This window comes from Homo sapiens, chromosome 18 (genome assembly GCF_000001405.40).
Source record: "Homo sapiens chromosome 18, GRCh38.p14 Primary Assembly".
Lineage (NCBI taxonomy): Eukaryota > Metazoa > Chordata > Mammalia > Primates > Hominidae > Homo > Homo sapiens.
The window spans coordinates 9529625-9542075 of NC_000018.10; the positions used below are offsets into that span (position 1 = coordinate 9529625).

Here is a 12451-nt window from a genome sequence, read left to right on the forward strand (position 1 = left end):
TAAATAGGATACAAAACCTATTATAAACTATAAAAGAAAAATTTGATAAATTGAATTTCATCAAAAATTTAAAAATATGCTCTTCAACAGATATTAAGAAAATAAATATCCAAGCCAGAAGCTGCGACAGAATATTTGCAAAAGCTTGTATCTGATAAAGGACTTGATTTTTTTTTTAAAGTTTACAGTTTAATAAGAAAACAACCAATTTTTAAAAGGCAAAAATTTGAACAAATACTTTACCAAAGATCATATATAGATGACAAGCACATGCAAAGACTCTCACCATCATTAGTCATTAAGGAAATCCAGATTAAAAGTACTCTGAGATAACAGTATACATCAACTAGAATAGGTTGCTCTTGGTAATGCAAAATGGTGTAGCCATTTTGAAAAACAGCTTGGCAGTTTCTTATTAAGCTAAACATGCGGTTACTTACCATAGCACCCAGGCTTCCCACTCCTAGGTATTTCTCTAAGAGAAGAAAGCATTTGCCCTCACAAAGCATGTGCGAAATGTTCCTAACAGCTCTAGTTGTAATAGCTTACAACTAGAAGGAACCCCAATGTCCATCAGTTGGTAAATGGATAAACAAATTGGGGTACATTTATTCCATGGCATGTTGCTCAGCAACTACTGATACAGACAGACAAGTAGATGAATCTTAAAAGCATTGTGCTAAGTGGAAGAAGCCAGATAATCACACTACTTACTGATTGATTCAGTTATGAAACTCAAGGAAAGGAAAAACTGCAGCGATGGAGACCAGGACGGGTTGCTAGATGCCGGCAGATGGTGGAGGAGCCCAAGGGCACTTTGTGTGGCAATGGAAACGTTCTAGAGCATGATGGTGGTGCTGGTTACTTGACTTTATGTTTGTGAACACTAAATTCTGTGCTCAAGATTTACACTCCTGACCACACCCTCCCTAAGTATTACAATAGGTAATTTCTGTGGAAGGGTACCAGAAATGGCAAGTACATTCACCAGAATTGAGTATTTTTCACAGTGCAGGCACAGACTCAGATCTCCATGTTATATTCCAAGCCCAGTTACCAAATGCCCATCCAGCTAGATGGTTCATCTGACTGTTATTGTTTCAATTCTAGGAAATGAGAAGGAAACGTGTAGATTGGTGGTGGTGTGATTTGTTGAATATGTGTTACATATGGGCTGACTAGTTCTTTTTTATTTGTCTTATTTGACAGGAGTGTGAAACCAAGATTGCACAAGAGATAGCCAGTCTTTCAAAAGAGGATGTTTCCAAAGAAGAGATGAATGAAAATGAAGAAGTTATAAATATTCTCCTTGCTCAGGTAACCTAAAATCTTTTTCTCTCTTTTGCAAGACTCTTTTTTGTTTTTGTTTTTGAGACAAAGTCTCGCTCTTGTCCCCCAGGCTGGAGTGCGTCGAAGCGATCTCGGCTCACTGCAACCTGCAACCTCCGCCTCCCAGGCTCAAGCGATTCTCCTGCCTCGGCCCCCTGAATAGCTGGGATTGCAGGCACCTGCCACCACACCCAGCTAATTTTTGTGTTTTTAATAGAGACGGGGTTTCACCATGTTGGCCAGGCTGGTCTAGAACTCCTGACCTCAGGTGATCCGCCTGCCTCAGCCTCCCAAAGTGCTGGGATTAACAGGCGTGAGCCACCGCGCCCAGCCTGCAAGGCTCTTAATGGTCATTTAAAAATAGTAACTTGAGAAGCTCTACTACAGATGTGAATATTTTAACCAAAATTATAAAGTGATTTTGAGGGCCTGTGTCTGTTTTATTTGTCCCTTCCTTTATGTTGTGTTTGTTAAAATGTTCAGTTATGGCGAAAGAAACTACCTTATATTCAGTAATGACTCTTTACTGGGCATTGTTCTAGACGTTTAATCTCATTTAGTGTGCACACAGGTCCGAATTATAGGTCTTTTCCCTAATTTACAGATTAGTGGTACTTGTTCCATATTAATGAGATCAGACTTTTAAAAATATTTTAAAAACCGTTGTACCTGACATTACAAAGTCTGGAATCCTTGAAATGTAAGAAACAGATTTTATCTAATAGTTGTTGCTAATAACACCTTTTAGATATTTTGATTTTATTCTTTACAGGTGAAAGTCAATTGTTGGAGGCAAATTGTCTTATTAGTCCTTCATTGATTTAACAGATATCCCTTTCGTGCCTACTGTATTCCAGGCATAGAGCTGAAGATGAGCTCATTTCTTTCTGAAGTTCTCAAGTCAGCCTCACTTTGTTCTGGAAATTGCCAGAGTTTAACCAGAAAGGAATGAAGTTCTAGGCTCTGACCACAGTGTGTCTAGGGTTCCAGAAACTCGTGTGGTTTCCCTGAAGCCCAATAGGTTTCAGTCCTTCTGTGTCACCTCTGAAACATGCGTTGTTTTGCCTCTCAGGAGCACATAGTTTTCCTTGAGGAGAGGATGAGTCCCAGATTATATCTTTGTTTCAGGGTTTTTCAGTCTGGTGTTTGTTGGAATGTCAGCTTTAGTAGGTATGCAGAGGTATAGGAAAGACATCTGTGTTCAAAAATATTTGAGCAGTACTGTGTCCTTCATCTCCTGGAGAGACGTTCTCAGCGCTGTTGGTGTTTGTGGGTAGTTCATTTTGGCATGTGACCATGGTAAATAACTACCTTCTCAGTACCTGCTCATTTGGAAAGAACGTCCGCACCCAGCTCCTCATCCCCACAGCCACCTTCTGTTACTCTCTTAAGCTTTGTCTGCCTTGCTTCTTTTCTCTAGGTCAGAGGGGCTCTCTAGATCTTGGGCAGATAGGGATTTTTTCCCCATTCTTTTAATAAGACTGATGATCTTACCAATCTTAGAAATGCATATTGTGGTAAAGCAGAATATTGACTATTTAAATACCTTTGGGCCAGGCATGGTGGCTCACGTCTGTAATCCCAGCACTTTGGGAGGCTGAGGCGGGCGGATCACCTGAGGTCAGGAGTTTGAGACCAGCCTGGCCAACATAGTGAAACCCTGTCTCTACTAAAAATACAAAAATTAGCCAGGCGTGATGGCAGGCGCCTGTAATCCCAGCTACTCAGCGGCTGAGGCAGGAGAATCACTTGCACCCAGGAGGCAGAAGTTGGAGTGAGCGAGATTGTGCCACTGCACTCCAGCCTGGGTGACAGAGTGAGACTCTGTCTCAAAAAAAAAAAAAACAACCCTGAGGACTTTAAAGAGGACGGTGGCTTATGGAAAGGTGAAAAAATTTCTGTAATGATCTTTCCTTCCCACTGATCTGCCTTAAAGGTGATGCTGACACCAGCCAGACATCTCTTGGATCCTTCTTTTCCTAGTGACCCCATCAAAGGTCACCATGGCCCTGTATATGCCTACTTTCCTGAGAGATGGGGAGGCATTAAGAGTGGGAAGCCGAAGCCAGTTTCATCCCTCAAGTCCTGGCTTTTCCCTGTGGGGGCCTCACAGGGGCCTTTGCAGTAGGAGGATATGGGGTTCCTGTGTGGCATTTTGTTATTGAGAAAAATCTAGTCATTCCCCCAAAATAACTTTACCTTTTCTCAAAGAAGCCTTTTCTTGACCCTAATGAAATAGGATGTTTTTGGTTGTGCAGTACGTAACTCGTGTTCAGCACTCAATGGGGCTCAAGAATTCAGGGCAACATGGGAGACCCTAAACAAGTGACATTTCCTGGACTAAAACTCTCAGAGCTGTTCACCAGTGTTCATTATTTCAGGAGAATGAGATCCTGACTGAACAGGAGGAGCTCCTGGCCATGGAGCAGTTTCTGCGCCGGCAGATTGCCTCAGAAAAAGAAGAGATTGAACGCCTCAGAGCTGAGATTGCTGAAATTCAGAGGTAAAGGAAAGCCGAGGGTTTTGAAGCTTCTGAGCATGTTTCTTTAAATATAACCATAATTGTTTTAGCTCTCAGACTTTCCTACAAAAGAATTAGGCATGTGAAATTCATCATCTTTAAGTTTCTTATTTATCAGGTCCTAAGAATGGTGTTATATTGAGTAGAGTCCTGAAAACGTGGTAAATATAAAAGGAGGTCACAGACAAGCACATCCAGTAGCGTCTTCCTTTGTCTCTCATCTTGCAGTCGCCAGCAGCACGGCCGAAGTGAGACTGAGGAGTACTCCTCCGAGAGCGAGAGCGAGAGTGAGGATGAGGAGGAGCTGCAGATCATTCTGGAAGACTTACAGAGACAGAACGAAGAGCTGGAAGTGAGTTTTGGGGGGAAATAGCCAAAATGCATACTAACTTTTAGAAAGTTGTAGAGACCACATATTTCCCCTCAGAATTGTCCTTCTTTTTCTTGGTCACCAGCTGGGAGGCTGAGTAGAGAGGAATTTAGGGGGACATCTCACCGAGAGTCTGTGGGACTTGAGCTAAGTGCTGGCCAAGCAGATGGCACCTGTGTGTCTTCCTCAGGCTGTGAACTGGAGTTCTGTGACTTTAGTGTGACATGTAGACCTTTCTCCACCCGATGTAAAGGCAAGCCTCACCTGACTGTGTCAGCTTGAGCAGCTTTGAATGACCTAGTCTCTGTTCCCAGAGAAGGTGAACAGAAAAATCAGCGCTAGTGATGGAAGAACAGTCTCCCGAGTCTCCCTGTGGGTGAAGCAAGAGACGGAGTTTCTCTTGGCCTCAGCCCGAGAAGCAGCAGGTGAGAGGGAATCGGCGCTAAGAAACTAGGAGAGGCTGCACAGTGAAGAGAAGGCAGCAGAGATAAAGGTCTAGATCACAGTTTCCCTTCTTACCCCAAATAAAATATTGTGTCCAGATATTTTGCCTAAGGATTGAGTGAGAGAAGATACCCTCTTCACAGAAAGGAATCTAAGGATAGAGGGACAGCTCTGCATCCCTCATTTGGGTTCGCTCAGTGGCTGGTGCGAACCAGAACTACACCCTGCATAGAAAAGCAGAATTCCACACACAGCCACCCTGCACAGAGTCCTCTCTGCCGAGCCTGCGGGCAGAGCTCAGAGGCAACCACGAAGGTTCAAGGCAGAGACCCTTGCTGCGGCAGGAATGTGCTGTGGGAGGAAGCCCTGCAGGTGCTGAGACCAGGGTTGCTGGAGCTCCTGTTCAGAAAGGCCTCACATTGGCACCTGATGTTCTTTTCTTAACATTTTAAGATCGTATTAAAACTCTGAGTAGGAAAACAGAATCCAGAAGTATTGTACTTGGGGTGTAGGCTGAATTGCTGTAATAAAGAGAATAACATAGTGGTTTAAACAAGATGGTGTCTCTTGTGTGGCAGGCGGTCCAGCCCATCATCCTCCACACCACTTTTTTCCATGTAGGGTCCAATGTGGCTGCTCTGTCTTGCCACTCTTAGCAGGACTAAGTTAGCAGGGAAGGGATCAAGGCATGCCCAGTCGCCAAGGGCAGGGTGCATGCGTGGCACTCGGTGCTTGCGCTTACACCTATGCCCCCTTCGCAGAGCCTAGTCCATGCCACACCCACGCAGGGGAGGCTGGCACCTGCCACAGAGTGGAGGCCACGGCAGCAGGGCCGCTGCTATTCCTCAGGACCTAAACTTTGCCGAGTACATCCAGATGATTTAGAATTGATAGTAATTTTCTGTAGTTTGATTGAGTAGGACATTTCAGAATTACCGTAATACTATTCACAAAAGACAAAGGATATTCACCTTTGAAACAAATCTAGTTTTTTATCTGATCTCTAACTCCCCTTTCTAATTGCTGCTAAAATTACTTTTATTTTCTCCTTGTTTAAGGGCTGTTGAGAAGCCAGTTCAAAGTTATAAGTTGTCTATTTTAAACACTAGGATACTGAATTATTAAAATAACGGTTTCTGTTGGCACATGGATGTGTTTCTCTCTAGTAACCAGGAGCAGGGTTTCCAGCCTCACATTCTCAGGAGTCACGTGGCTCACTGTGCACTGTGCATTCCTGCTGTGTTTGTCTTCTGTTTCACAACCCATTGACTTAAACAAAACCAGATTCCTCTGTAGGATGCCCTTGCTAACCGCGCTCTGCTCCTGAGAAATCGTCCTCTGACTTCCTTAAGTGATAACTGCCCTTTCTGTCATTCCCCAAGATAAAGAACAATCATTTGAATCAAGCAATTCATGAGGAGCGCGAGGCCATCATCGAGCTGCGCGTGCAGCTGCGGCTGCTCCAGATGCAGCGAGCCAAGGCCGAGCAGCAGGCGCAGGAGGACGAGGAGCCTGAGTGGCGCGGGGGTGCCGTCCAGCCGCCCAGAGACGGCGTCCTTGAGCCAAAAGCAGCTAAAGAGCAGCCAAAGGCAGGCAAGGAGCCGGCAAAGCCATCGCCCAGCAGGGATAGGAAGGAGACGTCCATCTGAGCAGCCTGCGTGGCCGTCTGGAGTCCGTGAGACTGAAAGGACCCGTGCATCTTACTGTAACCCGGGGGCCAGGCCGGCTCTCTCGCTGTACATTCTGTAAAGGTGTCTTCTCTTCTCAGACTCTTCCTCTGTCACACGTCTGACTCCTTCACGTCAGGCTCAGGTTCCATGGGAGGACGAAGCAGTGGACGCATTGTGGGCTTTAGGGACAGATGAGTTTTCCAGATAGTGTCAGCTTATTTGAAGATTAATTTTCTTTGTTAACTTAAAATAACTATTTTAACCCTTGAGTGGCTTCTTTTTAAACCAAAAACCGTCTTTCTTTGCTTTTTTATCACAGCAGAATCAGGATCTCTTTCTCATTCAAGGGGGGAACCACCCCAGGTCAGCGCTGCGCCTGCTGTGGCCGCCGCGAGCCACGCCCTCTGGGATCTCTGGTACCGTCACTCTTGCTTGTGCCTTCCACACCTTCTCGGTGCAGATCCCTATGGGGGAGCTGCCTCACGTTCTCTGACTGGTCAGAGCAGCGCCTGGTGGGTGTTCCCTGGCCCACTCTCCTCTCTCCTTCTGCAGTTCTAAACCACAGTCTATAAGCCCGAGTCACCAGGACGGCCTGTCTGGCCACAGACAGGGGCTGCCTGTGGAGCCTGCCCACCGGCCCCCGGCAGTGCAGTCCAGCGGGGAGGAGGCTGCCCGTTCCTGCCAGTTCCTCACTGCGGGGACCAGCAAAGGCCTTCTCACTGGGTTGGTCAAAGGTAGTCACCTTGGCCTGGTGCATCCACAGAGGATGTTGTTCAAACCAGAAATCTTTTAAACGACTGACCTTCCTTAAAAACAGAATGACTCCGATTGCTTGCTTGGGCTAGAATGTACACGTCTCCTTGCCTGAATAAGCCATATATATGCTCTTAAACAAAAGTTTGAAATTATCCATATCATCTCAGTGAACCTACTGGTGGACTCCCAATTGACAAGATTGAGCAATAGAAAAAAATTCCTTTCCTTTGAATGATAGCTGTGATTCACCCCACCCCATTTTCTTGTTTCTGGTCCATCCGATGAGACGGATGCTCTGATGCTCTGAGGCTTCTGGGAGGCTGGGCCCTGGAGGCAACGTGCTGCAGGCGCACTCTGTCAGAGTGAACAGCACCGCGAGACAGGCCAGGCTCGTGGCTCGGAAGACAAACCCCACACACACTCAAGGGGTCGAAAACAAACCCCACACGAGGGCTCTCACCTCCTTCTCCTAGGTAGTATTTATTTTCAGCACCTGTTTGATGCAGTTTTTAATCCTCTACCTATTGCACTGTTGTGACTCGTTGGCCATTATTTGATTTTTGTACGAAAAAAAGCTTTGTTATAGAAATCAGCATACTATTTTTTTAAATCTGGAGAGAAGATATTCTGGTGACTGAAAGTATGGTCGGGTGTCAGATATAAATGTGCAAATGCCTTCTTGCTGTCCTGTCGGTCTCAGTACGTTCACTTTATAGCTGCTGGCAATATCGAAGGTTCCTTTTTTGTTTGTGTAAACTCTAATTTCTATCAAGGTGTCATGGATTTTTAAAATTAGTATTTCATTACAAATGTCTCAGCATTGGTTAACTAATTTTTGCCAGGACCATTATTGATCAAGCAAATAAATTCAACAGCCATTTGGGAAAAAGAAAAGCTTCTAGTTTTTTTGTACACATTCTTTCTGTGAGGAGATTGAGTACTCTGCAGCTGGCGAGGAGTTGGTTGAGGCACTTCTTCAAGGCCAAGGGGGAACACAGTGTTTTGTTTCCAGCTCACTTTGTACCCCTCACCTCTGCAGACACGGGGAGAACCCCGGACCCCTGGCATGCATGCTGGCGGCGGCATGCCTCCCTTCCACAAGCCCATGCTGCTGCAGAGGGAGCCTGTGTTTGCAAAACCCAGTGGACTGGGCTGGGTCTGCTGTCTGAGCAGCTCCTGGCTCCGGTGGGAACTGCACACAAGTCCACTGGCCTGGCTTGGCCCCAGGCATTGCAATTGACAGACATTTGCATTTCATACGGTAAATGAGGACTCAGCACAGCCAACCATAATCAGCATGTCTGGGATAGACTGGTCTAGAATAAAAATGAAGTTTCCATTGCTTTGTTTGCTTTAAAAATTCCACAATTAAAATATCTGTCATTGAAAGCTTAGACAAACAGCTGACTTCTCTGTTTTGTGTAGTTAAATCTATAATGTTAAATTTATATAGCTAAATTCTCCTTGATGGAAAGTCTCAAACGCCCTGATGGGGTACATTTAGCATTGGGGATCTGGAGATACTGAGGTGTGAGACCTGAGGTCACCTCCCAAGATGGGCTCTAGTGCTGTGTGATCTTTTTTTTTTTTCACTGCAGCTGTTTCTGTGAAGAGCACATTGCTTGTTATGTATTAGGATATCTTAAGAACAAACACACCTTCTGCGTCCAGCCAGGCTGAGCAAGATGCAGCCTGGGCTTTCTGGAGCTCTCGATGGGGACCCGTGCCCAATTCCATGTGTTCAGCCTCAGCCCTGGCCCATGGTTCTCATGAGGGATAGAAGGAAAAGCCGGAGTCAATTAGCAGGCAGAGGCTTCAGCATAAGATCCCACAGCTTTTAGGGAAGGTGGGCAGTGCCCCCTGGAATGTTCTAGACTAGATCCCAGGAGACCCAGGAGACGTGATAGCAAGCCTGGGCAGAGGAGGGGGCAGAAAGCCCTTAAATGCCACATGTAGGGGCTCTTTTGCAGAGCAGGAAGAGTACTGCTGCCCGTCACATGCCGGGTCCTCCGAACCTGCAAAGTGATGGATGCTCATTCTCTGCATTCTGGTGACTTTGCTGTTACTAGACAAGCATGATTCAACAGGTGTTCAGTTCAGCCCCAGCAGATCTCGGACATCCGACCTCTGCTCCCACCGCCTAGCTCAAGTGTCAAGTGCTGTGACCGGACATCGTGCTGAGCTGTTCCCGGGTCTCGTGCTAGAAACTGGCTTCTAGACAAACAGTGCGGGTACTGGAAGGAACGTGGACTTTAGGCAGGAAAGGCTTTTTTTATTTGTTTGTTTTTGGAGACAGAGTCTCACTCTGTTGCCCAGGTTGGAGTGCAGTGGTGTGATCTCAGCTCACTGCAACCTCTGCCTCCCAGTTCAAGCAATTCTCCTGCCTCAGCCTCCCAAGTAGCTGGGACTACAGGTGCACACCACTACCATGCCTGGCTAATTTTTTGTATTTTAGTAGAGACGGGGTTTTACCGTATTGCTCAGGCTGGTCTTGAACTCCTGAGCTCAGGCAATCCACCCACCTCGGCCTCCCAAAGTGCTGGGATTATAGGCTTGAGCCACCGCACCCAGTGTAGGCAGGAAAGTCTGGGTTTTCTTCATAACCTTCAAAAGCAGTCTTGTTGAACTTCAGTTTTTTCATTGGCAAAATGGTGGAGATAATCTTGATTTCCAAAGGCTGCTTAGATAAATAATGGCTAGTAAGTACCTGGCATAGGGCTTTTGGCGTCATACTCCAATTCATTTTCCCTACAGGACATGATCCGTGACTTAGTCATCATGTTATTAACATTAAACTTTATAGTGCAGAGATGAGTCGGGGAAGAAAGAACGTAGCATTCTTTAAGATGCAGGTTTCATTTCTCAGCCTCAAGGCTCAGCTACAGAATAAGCTGTGGCCCGACTGCCTGCCTACCATTTTACAGACGGGAGACTGAGGCTCAGAGCAGTGACATGGCCTGCATGGGTCACTATTGCCCCCACTGTCGCGCACATCCCTGAGACTGAGGGAATGAAGCGTTTGTGGGGGTACCCTGGGCTCAGAGGTTCCTGCGGGATCAAAATTGCTGCATCTGGGAGGGAAAGCAGGCGTGATCTGTGTCTGATATGGAGGTGCCAGCGGGGCCCCTGCCTGTGGGGCCAGAGCCTGGGTACCAGAAGGCGATGCTGAACGCTGCAGCTACAATTAGAGCAAGAAGCTCCCCTTTGGAAGGGCAGCTCTAGCCTTCTGAAAAGGGTCACACCAGCAGTTCTTGAGTTTCTCATGTGGGGATAAAAACCCTCATATCATCTCACTACTGTTAAGACTGTTCCAATGACAGAGAGCAGTCGGAGAGAAGGAATGGGAAGTTCTCTCGAATGAGGAGGGTTGAGTTCTGCCTCACGCATACTGCACCACAGGCTGGCGAGGCCAGGAAGGAACTCCCTGAAGAGGGAGCCATGGTGGAGAGCTCGGCAGGCTCACACCTGCCCACTTAGGCTGACCTTGCTGTAGGGAGGCCATGGAAGGTACAGGACTCTCCCTTACATCAGAATTTCAGATCAACGATGGATGTTTTCTTAGTGTAACTGTAAGTATGTCCCACGCAACTGCAGTTGAATTGAGTGTCCTGTATTTTGACTCGTGAACTCTGTCCACGCTGTGAAAGGTGACTGTGATCTTGAGTGCTGCACAGATAAGGAGTCCTTGTTATTTGAGGGAAACAGAACACCCAAAGCAGGTGAATGTCGGGCAGAATCCAAGAAACTGAAGGGATCGAGTAGGTCCAGCTGGGGAGGGGAAGGAAGGACTCAGCATTGACAAGGTTTGGCTCTTTGCCTCAAATTAAAATTGTGGGGAGATTCACCAATCAAGCGTACAGCCTCCTACTGATCCCTGCAGGCCACCTACCACTCGCAAAGGGACACGGCTTGCTAGTAAAAGACTGAGCCAAGCGGATGGGTCTGGGGCAGCTGTGCCCTGTCCATGACTGACCCTGGCTGCCCCCAGGGTGGCAGTGATGCCGCAGCAGCCACTACAGCCACAAGCTGTGACCCCCACAAGCCGTGACCACCACAAGCCATGACGACCACTAGTGGTCATGTGGGCTTTGACATGTAGAGTTTGGAAGTGCTGATTTGCAGCCAAGGAAGTAAAATATAAATATTAAATGTTTAAAATCTCTGATCATTGTGGGTTAAGATATCAAAATTATGCAAAGAGTTTAACGTGGCAAAGATAAAATCCTACACCAACAGACTGCATTATGGCTTCAGTCTCAGGAAGGCCAGGTCTCTTGGCCCCACCCCAGACCTATGGAATCTGAATCTGCATTTGAACCAAGTCCCCAGGTGACTTAGCCACATGTTAACTTTTGGAAAACAGGCACCAGGCCGGGTGCGGTGGCTCATGCCTGTAATCCCAGCACTTATGGGAGGCTGAGGCGGGTGGATCACGAGGTCCAGAGATCGAGACCAACCTGGCCAACATGGTGAAACCCTGTCTCTACTGAAAATACAAAAATTAATTAGCCAGGCGCGGCACCGTGCACCTCTAATCCTAGCTACTCAGGAGGCTGAGGCAGGAGAATTGATTGAACCCGGGAGGCAGAGGTTGCAGTGAGCCGAGATTGTGCCTCTGCACTCCCACCTGGGCAACAGAGTGAGACTCCATCTCAAAAAAAAAAAAAAAAAAGGAAACTTTCTAAATGTCCAACAACATTTCACTAGATACTTAAAAGCTACAACAGAAAAACCAGGAAAATCTCAGTAAATGACCATCCAGGAAGGTGGGCCAGCAGTCTTACAGTGTCCACCCCTGTTATCCCTTGGCCTTTTGCCCAGCCAGTGGGACAAGCCCCTATTCTAGCCTGAGCTTGCTAGGGCTCCCCTTTCCTTGTGGATGCCCTCCTGGCTCCCTCTCCCTCCCCTCAGCATCTGCCTGTGGGATGTTCCCTGCGGAACTTCCTCTTGTCCACGCTGAATTCCTCACGGTGCTGGAGGACCAGCTTGCGCTCTCCTGTCCACGGCCGGGCATCTCCTGGGGATTGGGAACAGCAGGACAATGTGGGCCCGCACCCAAACGCGGCTCAGGAGCCTCTGGCGAGGTGGTGGCTCTTCCCATGGAACTACTGAAAATACTACTCAGTAGCTGTCTTGTATCCAACTAGCAACAATTATTGGTAATATTAACACTAAAAAGCAGATGGGGTGAAATAATCATGGTAAAATTACTAAAAACTGCAAGTAATCTTGTCAACTCTAAATCAGCAAAATTTGCCCTAAAAGAAAGACATGGTAGAAATTAAACTCATAGCCATGCTGCAAAACATCACATGGACTGAAAGTGGATTATTGATCATTTGTCAAGTTTTCTAGGAAAAG

General features: G+C 46.8%; 1 protein-coding gene across 8 annotated transcripts in view; it reads left to right on the forward strand.

The window, feature by feature from the left end:
* RALBP1 (ralA binding protein 1) overlaps positions 1-8490 on the forward strand; it is a 63106-nt gene extending 54616 nt beyond the window's left edge. For all 8 annotated transcript variants that reach the window (XM_047437278.1, XM_047437282.1, NM_006788.4 and 5 more), the window contains 4 exons: positions 1210-1317; positions 3711-3832; positions 4079-4202; positions 6047-8490. In XM_047437278.1, coding sequence (XP_047293234.1) covers positions 1210-1317; positions 3711-3832; positions 4079-4202; positions 6047-6313 — 621 coding nt within the window. In that variant the 3' untranslated portion in view covers positions 6314-8490. The remainder of the gene's footprint in view (positions 1-1209; positions 1318-3710; positions 3833-4078; positions 4203-6046) is intronic.
* The last annotated feature ends 3961 nt before the right edge of the window (positions 8491-12451 follow it).